Here is a 15,899-nt window from a genome sequence, read left to right as displayed (position 1 = left end):
ACATCCCCAGTACTCATTTAGCATAGCACTTGGTGCATACCACATACACAAGAAATGTATGTTTTTAATAAATTAATAAATTATCTGAATATCTATAATTTATATAAATTTAGCGGTACAGTCAGGGATAAAGTACAACATAATACGTAATATTCATGACATTAAAAATTACTTCAGCCAAAATATTGTATTATCACTTGCAAAGATCATTTTGATACAGACACATACCATTTCAAAGGAACTAAAGAGTTGAACATTCTATTATCAAAAGCCAATTAATAAGTCACTGTTTAATATGACAAAAATAATTATCATATCCATATACATAATAATCATCTGTGAGATGAGAGTCATCAAAGTGCTTAGGAAATGAGCTATTGCTCCATCTCAGTGATTATATCTCTATACCAATGATTGTATTGTATATCTCTATACCAATGATTATATTGGTATAGAGAATGGATGGGACGTATACAGCAAAAATCAGAGCCATCAACTGGGTTGCAGGCATCTTAACAAATATAAAATATAGAAAATAAATTATGTAAGATTATTAGTAAAAGTAGCTTATTTCATTTAATATGGCAATGTATATATTTATGAACAGATTTGTCATCTTATAAAACAAAATTTTATTATACTCCATACATGAACAATTACTAAGTAAAATTAATCAATGTATCTGTTAAGAACCCTCTTTGAGAATAAGTACAGGCATACCTCGGTTTTATGGGCTTTGCTTTATTGCATAGTGCAGATATTATGTTTTACCCAAATTGAAGGTCTGTGGCAGCCTTACATTGAGTAAATCCATCAGCAGCGTTTTTTCCAACAATATATGCTGACTTCCAGTCTCTGTGTCACATATTGGTAATTCTTATAATATTTCAAACTTTTTCATTATTATTATATCTGTTATGGTGATCTGTGATCAGTGATTTTTGACATTATCATAATTATTTCAGGACATCATGAACAGTGATGTCCTGAAGACACAAACTTAATTGATCATTGCTGTGTGTTTTCTGATTGCTCCACTGACCCCACTATTTCCCATCTTTCTCCCTCACCTCAGGTCTTCCTATTCCCTGAAACATAACAATATTGAAATGAAGCCAATTAATAACCCTACAATGGCCCCTAAGTGTTCCAGTGAAAGAAGAGTTGCAAATCTCTCACTTTAAATAAAAATCTAAAAATGATTAAGCTTAGTGAGGAAGGCATATCAAAAGCTGAGATAGGCAGAAAACAAAGCTTCTTGTGCCAAGTTGTGAATGAAAAGGAAGGTTCTTGAAGAAAATTGAAAGTGCTGCTCCAGAGAACTTGCAAATGACAAGAAAGTGAAACAGCCTTATTGCTGATAGGCAGAAAGTCTGAGTGGTCTGGGTAGAGGATCAAACCAGACACACCATTCTGTTAAATCCAGAGCAAGACCCTAACTCTCTTCAATTCTATAAATTGAGAGAAGTAAGAAAGCTGCAGAAGTTAAGTTTGAAGCTAGCAGAAGTTAGTTCAGGAGGCTTAAGGAAAGAAGGCATCTCTATAACATTAATGTGCAACATGAAGCAACAAGTGCTGAAGGATAAGTGGCAGCAAGTTATACAAAAGATGTAGCTCAGTTCACTGATGAAGGTGGCTACACTAATAGATTTTCAGTGTAGACAAAACAGCCTTCTCTTGGAAGAAGATGCCATCTCAGACTGATAGCTAGAGAGGAGAAGTCAATGCCTGGGTTTAAAGCTTCAAAGGACAGGCTGACTCTCTTGTTAAAGGTGAATGCAGCTGGTGAAGTTGAAGATAATGCTCATTTACCATTCTGAAAATCCTAGGGCCCTTAAGAATTTTGTTAAATCTACTCTTCTCCTGTGCTCTATACATGGGAACAACTAAGCTTGGATGATAGCACATCTGTTTACAGCATGGTCTCCTGAATATTTTAAGCTCTTTGTTGAGAACGACTGCTTGTGTAGAAAAAAAAAATCCTTTGTAAATGAGCAGTAGCTCATTGACAATGCACCTGGTCACTGAAGAGTTCCAATGGAGATATACAAGGAGATGAATGTTGTCTTCACATCTGCTAACATCCACTCTTCAGCTCATGGATCAAGCAGTAATTCTGTCTTTCAAGACTTATTACTTAAGAAATACATTCTGTAAGGCTACAGTGTGTTAGTCCATTTTGCATTGCTATAAAGGAATACCTGAGACTGGGTAATTTATAAAGGAAAGAGGTTTATTTGGCTCGTGGTTCTGCAGGCTGTACAAGCATGGCACTATCATCTACTTGGCTTCTGGTGAGGCCTTGGGAAGCTTTTACTCATGGAAGAAGGCAAAGCAGAACAGGTGTGTCACATGGTAAGAGAGTAAGCAAGAGAGAGCAGGGAGATGCTATGCTCTTTTTAAATAACCAGCTCTTGCATGAACTAAGAAATCAAGAGCTTCACTTGTCACCATGGGGAGGCACCAAGCCATTCATGAGAGATCCTCCCCTATGACCCAAATATCTCCCACTAGGCCCAACCTCCAACACTGGGGATCACATTTCCACATGAGATTTGGAAGGGACATATATCCAAACTGTATCAGATAGTGATTCTTCCGAAGGTTCTAGGCAAAGTAAATGGAAACACCTTCTGTAAAAGATTCACCACTGTAGACACCATTAAGAACATTCATGATTCATGGGAGGAGGTAAAAATATCAACATTAACAGATGTTTGTAAGAAGTTGATTCCAGCCCCGATGGGTGACTTTCAGGGTTTCAAGACCTCACTGGAGGAAGTAATGGTAGATGTGGTGAAAACAATGTGAGACCAAGAATTAGGAGTGGAGCCTAAAGATGGGGCTGAATTGCTATAATCTCATGATGAAACTTGAATGGATGAGGAGTTGCTTCTTATGAATGAGCAAAGAAAGTGGTTTCTGGAGATGCAAAATACTCCTGGGGAAGATGCTGGGAACATTGTTGAAATGACAACAAAGGATTCAGAATATTCCATAATCTCATTTTTTACAGCAGCAGCAAAGTTTGAGAGGACTGACTCTAATTTTGAAAGAAGTTCTGTTGTGGGTAAAATGCCACTAAACAGCATCACATGCTACAGAGAAATCTTTCATAAAGAAAGATTCAATCCATGTGGCAAATGACATCATTGACTTATTTTTAAAAATTGCCACAGCTACCCTAACCTTCAGCAACCACCACCCCGATCAGTCAGCAGCCATCAACATCAAGACAAGACCTTCCATCAGCAACAAGATTATGACTCATTGAATGCTCAGATGATCATTAGCACATTTTAGCAATAAAGTATTTTTAAATTAAGGTATGTACATTTTAAAATACATAATGCTATTGTACACTTCACAGACTGCAGTATAGTGTAAACACAACTTTATATACACTGAGAAACCAAACAATTTCTGTCACTTCCTTTATTGAAATATTCACTTTATTGGAATAGTCTGGAGCCAAACTCTCAATATGTCCGAGGTATGCCTGTATAGTATTTATTTTAATAACCAGCCAAATTAAAATAGAAAAAGTCTTATGGTAACTTTGTTCAAAGAAAAATACAGATTTTCTTATATTCATTATTCATTATTTACCTGCTTCTATAGTGATCAATATTGAAACTCTCTATTTTACATTTCACTTTGGTATATACATCCTGGACATCTATGGAAGCACTGAGATCTTCTAGTTCACTGACCATACAAACCTCTGCAATAAGAAACAAGCAGTAATATCAACACAGTCTTCACAATTAATATTAAAACTTTCTATTTTACATTTCACATTGACAAATGCATGCTGGATATGTACAGAGGCGCTGAGATCACAAAAGCTTCTAGAATAATAAGCAAATCAGCATAGGCCTGTTTATTAAGATAAGACATTTATTTCAAGAAAGGGGAAAGCCCAGTTAATGTCTGGAGTGTTATATTTGATATCAGTCAAGGATTTTCCCAATACTTTTAGTGACAATACTATAATGTATCAATATGACCATTGAGGAAAATTCCTCATGGTCTTTTAGATGAATTTTAATACAAACAGGACAAAATTTATGTATTACAAAGTCAAGGAAAATATGTACACGTAAACCTTTAATGTTAATAAGATTCAACATTTTAGCACTGCAACTAGAAATTACTTGAATTAGAGCTAATAATAATTATTTAATTATAAATGACAATAATAAATTACATTTAATATTTCTTCCAAAATAGCGTTTAATATTTGCACTTTTCAGTAAAGAAGAAAAGCAATCCAGGCCGGGCATGGTGGCTCATGCCTGTAATCCCAACACTTTGGGCGGCCAACGTGGGCGGACCACCTGAGGTCAGGAGTTCAAGACCAGCCTCACCAACATGGAGAAACCCTGTCTCTACTAAAAATACAAAATTAGCTGGGTGTCGTGGTGCACGCCTGTAATCTCAGCTATTCGGGAGGCTGAGGCAGGAGAATCACTTGAACCCAGAAGGAAGAGGTTGCAGTGAGGCAAGGTCACGCCAGTGCACTTCAGCCTGGGCAACAAGAGCAAAACTCTGTCAGAAAGGAAAGACAGACAGACAGACGGAAAGACAGACAGACAGACAGACAGACAGAAAAGAAAGGAAGGAAGGAAGGGAGGGAGGGAGGGAGGGAGGGAGGGAGGGACAGAGGGAGGGAGGGAAGAAAGAAAAGGAATCCTGTACCTGTGCCTTTATTTTCAGGATCTGGAGCAAAGAGCTTTATAGTAATTTTGGGAAGCACCCACTGCATCCATAAACTAACACGTCCACTGGTTCCTCCAATATTACTTGTAGTTTGTTCCAAGGTCACAGAATCTGAGAATGGTGATTCCTCACCTGCTTGTATAGAATCTCCCTGGGATGAGGAGAAAAAAAAATCTTACTTTGTAACATAAACAAAAATAACAGAAAATACAAATTATAAATTAAAATCAGAAATTATTATTTGTAACTTTTTCACATCTTACATGCAAATGATAATCATATAAATGTTAATACCAATACATAATGCTAATGTATAAACATACACTTCTCAAATGATTTTTATTGTTAGAAAGCACATGCATGTTTCCAGCTTCCTCTAAAAGTAGTTAAGATCTAGAAAAGGTTAAGATTAAACCAATGAGTATGTTCCTATAGAGTAGAGTCTGCAAGCTACAGTGAAGGGGCTAATCTGTCTGTATTGGGGAATAAATTTTTACTAGATCACAGCCAAATCCGTTCATGTACTGACTGCATATGACTTCTTTTCAGCAGAGTTGAGTAGTTGCTACAGAGAAGCTACAATCCACAAAGTCCAAAGGTATTTACTAACCAGCCCTTTACAGAAAAATATTTGTCTACCCCTTCTATAGAGTATTTATAATGGAATCTAGAATAACTATAGCAAAGTGATTATCAGTTTAAGAAACAGCAAAATATTAATCATGCCTTGCATGTTAATTAAGGAGACATTAAAAATTAGTAGATTTGACAATAGATTTTTTTAAGTGTCTTATATGGTTAAAGCTTTCTTAGTGGAATAGAGCATAAGCTTATCCGATTCAACAAATACATACTGAACTCTGAATATGTATAAGGTCCTAAAGTCAGTGCTAACGAACTTGCTGTCAAAGTCTTGTTTGTTTGTTTTTGGTCTTTTCAGCAGCTTTTAGCAGGCCAGAATAAAATAAACCCTTTTATTTAAAGTTGAACAGCTTCAGTCTCAAATGCAGAAGAGATGCTGCAATCATTGATATGTTGAGTTCTTTTAGGATTAGCTATGAAGTATTGGGTTCCTAAAATCCCAAACTTTGCTGTCCGTTTAAACCTTGCAAACAAAACTTGCGAGCTTAAACCCATATACTCTGAAAACTGATCAAACACAATATAACATTCTTATTTGTTTAAAAGATGTATATATATTTACATATCAGTTACAGATACTTAGTTAAGCTTAGTCTGGCAGGCAGTATGGTGTACTGGGTTAACGAAGTCAGATGCCAGTCAAGTGATTTGAGGCAAGTAGTTTAACTGTACACTCCTCTGTAAAATGGTTATTATAGTGATATTTATCTCATACAGTTAAGATTAAATAGAAATATGAATGTGAATGAAGAATATACACATAGAAAATAGTTCATAAATTGTAGTTATAATTATCATTATCAAGTTGAACTAATGCTTAAGAAATTTTTCACTCACATTCTTATAGAATTCTCATTTTCTCATCTTTCTAACTTCAGACACGTTTTGTTTTGCCGTATATCCTCAACCTCCAATAGTTTATTGCTTTGAATGTCTCAAACAAAAATATTAATTTCCTGTGCTAACGAGTCATAACCAGTAGTTAACTGTCAGAACAAAATACCCCTTAAAATTTAAACAAAGACAATATAATATGGTCAGTATTCCATTTTTTATAGACAGGTTGTCAGAGCAGAAGCCACTAATCTCTAAACACTTAAAAGCAGGAATGATAATTAAAATCCTGTACAAAACAAACCAAAGTCCCGGCTCTCATTACCACAGACATGCCATCTAAACACAGGTATATTCAGCTCCTACATGAGGCTTTTATTTTAACCTCATTGTTTTATAACATCTTTCAGTCAGAAGAAAATTCAATTTCCCTGCAACCTCAGAAGGAGGCCCAATGGGGAAGATTTTCATAGAATGACAGGCAAGTGTTTACTGCAAGAACACTTAGGCACCAAGCATAGCAAAGTAACAGTGTTCTGGGATTTACTATTAGAGAAAATTATAGAGTTAAACCTGAAGACAGTATAGTTACTCTTTGTCCCAAATACACCAAGCAAAGCAAATATCTCACTGTTTGTGCAGTTTTCATATAAATGCTTTTACAAAATAAGTAGTTCTAAATCTGCTACAATAGAAATTCCTACAACTTGAGAAGCTATAAAAAAATCAGGTTTTTGGTTAGCTGTCTAATGCAACACAACATCTAATAAAAAGCATAAACTAATTCCAGATAAGGATGCTTATTAAATAAAAGGCAATATATATAGCCTTTCTTTATGTATAGGTTTATAGAGTAGAAGTATGCTTAAATTAAACCCTCCTTCCAACAGACAGAAGAATATCATATTCCAAGGATGGAGAACTGAGAGAAAATAACATCTCGAATCACTAAGACTTCAATTTTTAACACTACTTGGTATACTTGGTAAGAATGCTAAGAAAACTGTGGCTGCAAATTTAGTAAGCACTCCTCAGTAAAAGCTTTGCTGTACTTCCTCATGCAGTTTCAGTTTTCATTTTGGATTTACAGCATTTTGTTTGGTATTGTTAAACATGTTTGTGCATTAATTTTCTGCTCTGTTTCCAAATCTGTTGTGAAAATCAGGCCGGAAATGGAGATGCTGAACTATTTTCCCATACATCCTTAGGCCAAGTTCTAAAATAAACAGTTCAATTCTTTTACCATTTTGTTGCAAATTGACCAAATGCTAAGTTTATTTTCCTAGGTGAATTTATCTTTGTTTATTTGGAAGAGCAAACACTTTATATCCCTTCATCCTTGGCCTGCTTCAGAGCTTAAGGATGATCATAGTTTTGGCCCCATTGCTACTCTATCTTATCAAAATAACTCCTGCATTCTTGTTCAATTACAAAACTTCCCAAAGGGCTAAACACTTCGACCACTGTTTGTACTTAAGTCAACAGTAACAAGTGGCCTGCTGTGGTCTCAACTACCTTTGCTCCCACTATTTCAATGCAAGAGTGGGAAAAAATGATTAAGTGTTTTAAGCTCAGTACTTAAGCTTCAAACTCATATTTCCCACTTTACCATGACTCAGACTGAAACACAGGAAGCTGCAGCTATATGTGCACAAAAGTACAGTGCTCCCCATCAACATGTCAGCATGAAAAGAATTACTCATAGTTTAAAGTATAAATCATCTAAGGATCATATAAACAAATATTTCCATTTAATACAAACAATTGTTAGAATGTGTTTTCTTTTTTTTATTTTCATGAGCTTATTTTCTTTTTTATTGTTTTTTTTATTATTATACTTTAAGTTCTAGGGTACTTGTGCACAACATGCAGGTTTGTTACATATGTATACATGTGCCATGTTGGTGTGCTGCACCCATTAACTCATTAACTCATCATTTACATTAGGTATATCTCCTAATGCTTTCCCTAGAATGTGTTTTCTTAAACTAGATTCATTTACAGTAAGTTCTCTATATTCAATAGTTTTGACCCAACTAAGCAAGAAAAACAATGTTTTAATAGTAAAATGTTTAAAAATTTTAATGATTGTTTTTGAATGCAAATTGTAATTTAAAAAAATCAAACCTGCAATTTCAAAGTGTTCCCCAGATACATAATTAATACAAGTAACACAAGAAATGTAAGCTAACCTCAGATTATTAGCTTATATTTACATGATAAAACTATCTGAGCTTTTAAAAATCAAGTAGCCAATAATTTAAAGACATTTTTATATGAATATTTTGAAATAGGAAAGGCTTCATACACAAAATATTGTGTTGAATGGTATGTGATGGCTAAACAATAACCTTCATTTTTCTAACCTGTTTTGATATATTTATTTTTTTCATAGATATTCAAATAAGATGATAGTTTAAATGTTATGATTTCTACATTCTGAATAAAAGTTTCTCTCTAAATGTTAAGAACAAAACCATTTAAGGAAAAATATGAAATGACATAAGTATTTTCAGGAGTTTTAAAACAATTACAAGAAATTTTAAAAATAGCAATTGAGTAAATTCAAACTAAATATACTATCTAAACGGTTGTTTGCATAATAATTTGAGGTAGATTACTGCATAGGTTAATTGCACTTGAATAACTGAAAAACTGACAAGAGTTTTGCTACTACAGCAAACTCTGTCAACAACTCTGAAGTTGATGCCAAACAATCTCTCAGTCCAATATTCACTTTTCAATTATCAATGTATGTTCAACAGTTACTGGACATTAAAAAAGGAACCACTTCATGCTTAATTTTTTTAACAACGCTGATAATAAAGCAATTTTAATTCTTGAATCAATAAACAATGCTTGTCACACTTTGCCATGACCCTAAGCTTCCAAACATTGAGTAGTTAATATATCAATTCTTACTTTAGGTAGAGTAAATATTTGTAATAATTTTTTATATTACATAAATATATTTTTATATTTAAATATAAAATATATACATATTATTTTATGTATATATGTATTTTATGTGTATATAAATATATACATATTATTTTATGTATATATGCATTTTTATGTATATATAAATATATACATATATGATACATAAATACATACATATATGTATATATAAATACATGTATTTATATATATTAAATATATAAATACATGTATTTATATATTAAATATATAAATATATTTTTATATTACATAAATATATATATTTATATATGAAATATATAAATATATTTTTATATTACATAAATATATATATTTATATATATTACAAATAAATTATTTGTAAATAAATATTCTAGTATTCACTCAGAATTTTAGATTATTCTACAGCTTTGAAATTACTTCCTATACTACTGCTGTGATTAAGGAAGACGTTACCAAAAACATTTTATATACACAGAAAAAGTTAAAATGAAAAAAACACTAAATAATTTGCCTAAAATCACAACTCAGAGGAATTTAATTTTGTCAACAGAATATAATCCTTTAAAATCACATTTATTGAAACTACTGAAAACCCAGAGATCCAAAATATGATTTTATGTTGTTATAACAGTTTCCCAAAGACATACAGGTTATGAAAGTATCCTGTAAGGGAAGGATGTGTGTGTACTTGTGTACGTATGTATGTGTTTGCTTTGTTTACTTGTCATGAAGAGGAATCATCAAAATGTTAGTGCTTTTTTTTTTCCTGAGATGGAGTCTTGCTGTGTCGCCCAGGGTGGAGTGCAGTGGCGAGATCTTGGCTCACTGCAAGCTCCGCCTCCCGGGTTCACGCCATTCTCCTGCCTCAGCCTCCGAAGTAGCTGGGACTACAGGTGCCTGCCACCACGCCTGGGTAAGTTTTTATATTTTTAGTAGAAACGGGGTTTCACTGTGTTAGCCAGGATGGTCTCGATCTCCTGACCTCGTGATCTACCCGCCTCAGCCTCCCAAAGTGCTGGGATTACAGGCGTGAGCCAACATGCCCAGTCTAATGTTAGTGCTTTTAATGGCAGTTTTTATTGTTGTATTGTCCTATAAGCAAAATAGCATAAAAATTTTAATGAGTATAATTATATAATGTTCCACTTTCTAGACCACTGACCTCAACAAAAATTTGACAACTTCACCTAGCTGAAGTACAGTGCAGTATGTTCTTCATAAAATATAAAGTTTTATTTATCTTTAAAACCAATGCAACAGTGAGTGTGGCAGAAACAGGTGGCTGTATTCCCAAATTTTGCTCTCCCTTCTATAATACAAAGTTGTCTGTGAGTAACGGTAATCCAACTATGGGCTAAATTTCCCAGCCCACTTTGGAATTATGTTTATACGCACATCCATGCCCCATCACTAATATTATAAATTCCTCAAATGATAAAGGACTATGTCTTAATAACTTAGGTTTGCCTGCCTGATCCTCCAAATCACCACAGGGCTATTCCTAGCCATGCACTACTCACCAGACGCCTCAACCGCCTTTTCATCAATCAATTTTAAAGAAAATACTGAATATTAATAAGCTAAGAATAAAATTTAAGAAATTCAAAAAACAACAGAATAAACCCAATAAAAAAGCAATATCTATCTCAGCCTAAGTAGGGCAACAAAGTTACCCCAGAAAATTTTTAAAAACAACTCTAAAGTGCAAGTAGGTTTAAGGACTTGATTTCATACTGCCTAAATGTTTCAAAAAACTTCTAGCTGTAAGATTAACAGTATAGGGGTCCCAGGCTAGAGGCAGCTGCTGAAGTCCCTTAGAGAAGCAAACACATAAAATGTCTTTGTCAGAGGACAGGCCCTCAACCACCATGTAAGGGCTTCATAGAAGAAGTTCCATTGATGAGAATCACCCAACACTAAATTACACAGTGCCAAAGAAAACAATCCAACATGAACAAGATTTAAGAAAACAACAAGTGGTCAGATTCAACTCTAAAGAAGTTCAGATACCAGATCTGATAAAAAATAAAAGAAAATAATTATGTTTAAAATGATTAAGGACAAAAAACAAACTGAAAATACAAACTCATATTGTAAATATAGTTTTACGTATTTACATAAAAATATGTGTAGTGACTTAATGAACATATGCATGTCTATGCCATGTACCACAATAAATGTGATTTAAATTAATCATAATGTGAGTTAGTATTCCAAAATTATTCAACATCTATATTATGAAGAAGACTATGTTTAGAACCTACTTTGAACCATACTTAAGATAAATTGGGGTTATCCTTTAATAAAGATAATGAGTGATGAATGGTGATGGAAAGTTTATATTTCACATCCAGTATGGCACTGAAACAATATAATCACTATTTGACATCTTTACTTCTGTGTCAGTGGAAGTCTCCCAGTCTGAATCATTTTATTTGTAATCTATAGTGTTTGACTTAACAAATATTTAAGATAGAAAAAAAAAACAGTATAAAAAGTACAACTAACATGGAAAAAGTAAAAGCAATAAAGGGCCAGTTTGTCAATATGTCTTTGGCTATCTGTACAGAATTTACTTACAGCCAAAAGAATGTTAGAGGTTTCCCTTGAGAAGAAAATTATAAAAAGAGATAATTATGGTAAACTTCAAAATATTGTCTAATATTTTCAAAATAAATTGGAAAATTTATTCAAAAACTACTAAAGTCCTCACCAGAGAAATTAGGAGACAAAATGAAATAAAAGGCAACCAAATTGGAAAGGAAAAAGTAAAATTATGTCTTTTAGCACATGACATGATCATATATGTATAAAACTAAAGATTCCAAGAAAACTTTTAGAACTAATCAATGAATTCCACAAAGTTGTGGGATACAACACCAACATACACAAATCAGTTGTGTTTCTATGCATTAAAAGCAAACAATAAAGAAATTAACAGAATAATTCCCTTTACAATAGCATCTAAAATAATAAAATGCTTAAGAATAAACATAACTGAGGAAGTAAAAGACATAATGAAAACTATGAAATATCTTTAAAAAAAATTAAGATGACACAAATAAATGGAAAGACATCCAGTGTTCATACATTGGAAGATTTAATATTAAGATGGTGAGTTATTTTTTAACGGATACAGAATTTCAGTTGGGGAAGATGAAAAAATACTGGAGACTGTTGTGAAGGTTGTATAACAATGTGAATGTACTTAATACCACAGAACTGTATACATAAAATGGTAAAAACAGTACATTTTATGTTGTGTATATTGTACCACAACAAAAAAATTAAGCCAAAAAACTTATAGTAATATAAAATCATGATTGTACAGTAACAAAAACACATTACATGTGTTTAGCATCTATATGTTCATTAGTTTTACTTGACATAAATTGGGCCACTGGAGTGGGATAGAAATATTTATCTTATCATTAAGTATTATTTTATCAATACATAGTATGAAGTTTAATTTCTAGGAACAAAGCTATATCAGTGTTGGAGATGGAAAAAGGATCAAGATGCTTCTCTGTGTTCTCTTTAAAATTATTAAATTAGGGTCCTTTGTCCATATGGTCCTTACCATTTCATTCTCTTTCTTTCTTTTTCTTTTTCTTTTCTTTTTTTTTTTTTTTTTTTTTAGATAGAGTCTTGCTCTGTCGCCCAGGCTGGAGTACAGTGGCACGATCTCAGCTCACTGCAACCTCCGCCTCCCAGGTTCAAGTGATTCTCCTGTTGCAGCCTCCCGAATCGGGATTACAGGCACACGCCACCACACCCAGTTAAGTTTTGTATTTGGAGTACAGAAGGGGTTTTGCCATGTTGGCCAGGATGATCTCGAACTCCTGATCTCAGCTGATCTGCCTGCCTCGGCCTCCCAAAGTGCTCAGACGACAGGTGTGAGCCACCACGCCCAACCCATTCTCTCTCTCTTCAAATAATTTTCTAAATGACATCTAAACTAAGACTTTCAAATTTAGATCAGATATGTGTTATAGCCAAGTACCTTTTCAATTAAGATTACTTTTTTAACATGGAAATATACAGTGATTAGGAGAAATTTCAAATGAAAACAGTTTTCTAGAGAGTAGGACAAGAGGGAACACTTGCTAACTCATTTATAAAGAGAGTATAAACTTCTAATCTAATACCAAAAGATGACAAGGCTATTATAAGAAAAAAATATAGAATTCAACAGAATTATATACTTAAAATGGTAAAAATGGTCAGTATCACTCATGACTATAGATACCAAAATCCTAAACAATTAGCAACCTCAATCTAGCAATATCTATCACAACTAAACTGGGATTTTTCTAGAAATGCATGGTCAGTTGAACATGTGAAAATCAATCGATATAATTAGTCACATTAAGAGAATAAAGGAGATAAATTACGTATATAATAATTTCGAAGTCGCTTCCAAGATGACAGAATAGGAACAGCTCTAGCCTACAGCTCCCAGTGAGATCGACGCAGAAGATGGGTGATTTCTGCATTTCCAATTGAGGTACCTGATTCTTCTCATTGGGACTGGTTGGAGAGTGGGTGCAGCCCATGGAGGGTGAGCCAAAGCATGCTGGGGTGTCTCCTCACCTGGTAAGCGCAAGGGGTTGGGGGATTTCCCTTTCCTGCCAAAGGAAGCCATGACAGACTGTACCTGGAGGAACGGTACACTCTCGCCCAAATACTGCACTTCTCCCACAGTCTTAGCAACCAGCAGACGAGGGGATTCCACCCTGTGCCTGGCTCCATGGGTCCCACTCCCAGGGAGGCTTGCTCACTGCTAGCGCAGCAGTCTGAGATCAACCTGCGAGGCAGGAGCCTGGCGGGGAGAGGGGTGTCCACCATTGCTGAGGCTTCAGTAAGTAAACTAAGTGACAGGGAAGCTCAAACTGGGCAGAGCCCACCGCAACTCAGCTAGACCTACTGCCTCTCTAGACTCCACCTCTGTGGGCAGGGCATACTGAACAAAAGGCAGCAGACAACTTCTGCAGGCTTAAACGTCCCTGTCTGACAGCTCTAAAGAGAGTGGTGGTTCTCTCAGCATGTCATTCAAGCTCTGAGAACGGACAGACTGCCTCTTCAAGTGGGTCCCTGACGCCCGTGTAGCCTGACCAAGAGACACCTCCCAGTAGGGGCCGACAGACACCTCATACAGGCGGATGCCCCTCTGGGATGAAGCTTCCAGAGGAAGAATCAGGCAGCAATATTTGCTGTTCTGCAATATTTGCAGTTGATACCCAGGCAAACAGGGTCTGGAGTAGAACTCCTGTAAATTCCAACAGACCTGCAGCTGAGGAGCCTGACTGCTGGAAGGAAAACTAACAAACAGAAAGGAATAGCATCAACATCAACAAGAAGGACATCCACACCAAAACCCCATCTGTAGGTCACCAACATCAAAGAACAAAGGTAGATAGAACCACAAAGAGGGGAGAAACCAGAGCAGAAAAGCTGAAAATTCCAAAAACCAGAGCGCCTCTTCTCCTCCAAGAATTGCAGGTCCTCGCCAGCAATGGAACAAAACTGGATGGAGAATGACTTTGACGAATTGACAGAAGTAGGCTTCAGAAGGTCGGTAATAACAAACTTCTCCGAGCAAAACGAGCATGTTCGAACCCATCGCAAGGAAGCTAAAAACCTTGAAAAATGGTTAGATGAATGGCTAACTAGAATAAACAGTGTAGACAAGACCTTAAATGACCTGATGGAGCTGAAAACCACAGCACGAGAACTACGTGATGCATGCACAAGCTTCAATAGTCGTTTCAATCAAGTGGAAGAAAGGATATCAGTGATTGAAGATCAAATTAATGAAATAAAGTGAGAAGACAAGATAAGAGAAAAAAGAGTGAAAAGAAAGGAACAAAGCCTCCAAGAAATATAGGACTATGTGAAAAGACCAAATCTATGTTTGATTGGTGAACCTGAAAGGTATGGGGAAAATGGAATCAAGTTAGAAAATACTCTTCAGGATATTATCCAGGAGAACTTCCCCAGTCTAGCAAAGCAGGCCAACATTCAAATCCAGGAAATGGAGAGAACACCACAAAGATACTCCTTGAGAAGAACAACCCCAAGACACGTAATTGTCAGATTCACCAAGGTTGAAATGAAGGAAAAAATGTTAAGGGCAGCCAGACAGAAAGATCAGGTTACCCACAAAGGGAAGCCCATCAGACTAACAGCGGATGTCTCAGCTCAAAACCACACAACTACATGGAAACTGAACAACCTGCTCGTGAATGACTACTAGGTAAATAACGAAATGAAGGCAGAAATAAAGATGTTCTTTGAAACCAGTAAGAACGAAAACACAAAGTACCAGAATCTCTAGGACACATTTAAAGCCGTGTGTAGAGGGAAATTTATAGCACTAAATGCCCACAAGAGAAAGCAGGAAAGATCTAAAATCGACACCCTAAAATCAAAATGAAAAGAACTAGAGAAGCAACAGCAAACAAATTCAAAATGTAGCAGAAGACAAGAAATAACTAAGATCAAAGAGCAGAACTGAAGGAGATAGAGACACAAAAAACCCTTCAAAAAATCAGTGAATCCAAGAGCTCGTTTTTTGAAAAGATCAACAGAGTAGATAGACCACTAGCAAGACTAATAAAGAAGAAAAGAGAGAAGAATCAAATAGACACAATAAAAAATAATAAAGGGGATATCACCACCGATCCCAGAGAAATACAAACTACCATCAGAGAATATTATAAACACCTCTATGCAAATAAATTAGAAAATCTAGAAGG

At 35.0% G+C, this 15,899-nt stretch overlaps 1 protein-coding gene across 2 annotated transcripts in view; it reads right to left on the bottom strand.

The window, feature by feature from the left end:
- Window positions 1–15,899, bottom strand: part of VPS13B (vacuolar protein sorting 13 homolog B) — an 864,307-nt gene that overhangs the window by 371,021 nt on the left and 477,387 nt on the right. For both annotated transcript variants that reach the window (NM_152564.5, NM_017890.5), the window contains exons 26-27: window positions 4,702–4,873; window positions 3,610–3,724 (exon numbers count right to left, since the gene is read on the bottom strand). In NM_152564.5, the coding sequence (NP_689777.3) occupies window positions 3,610–3,724; window positions 4,702–4,873 (287 nt within the window). The remainder of the gene's footprint in view (window positions 1–3,609; window positions 3,725–4,701; window positions 4,874–15,899) is intronic.

The sequence above is a fragment of the Homo sapiens genome, chromosome 8 (assembly GCF_000001405.40).
Source record: "Homo sapiens chromosome 8, GRCh38.p14 Primary Assembly".
Classification (NCBI taxonomy): Eukaryota; Metazoa; Chordata; class Mammalia; order Primates; family Hominidae; genus Homo; species Homo sapiens.
This window is presented reverse-complemented; position numbering and strand designations above follow the sequence as displayed.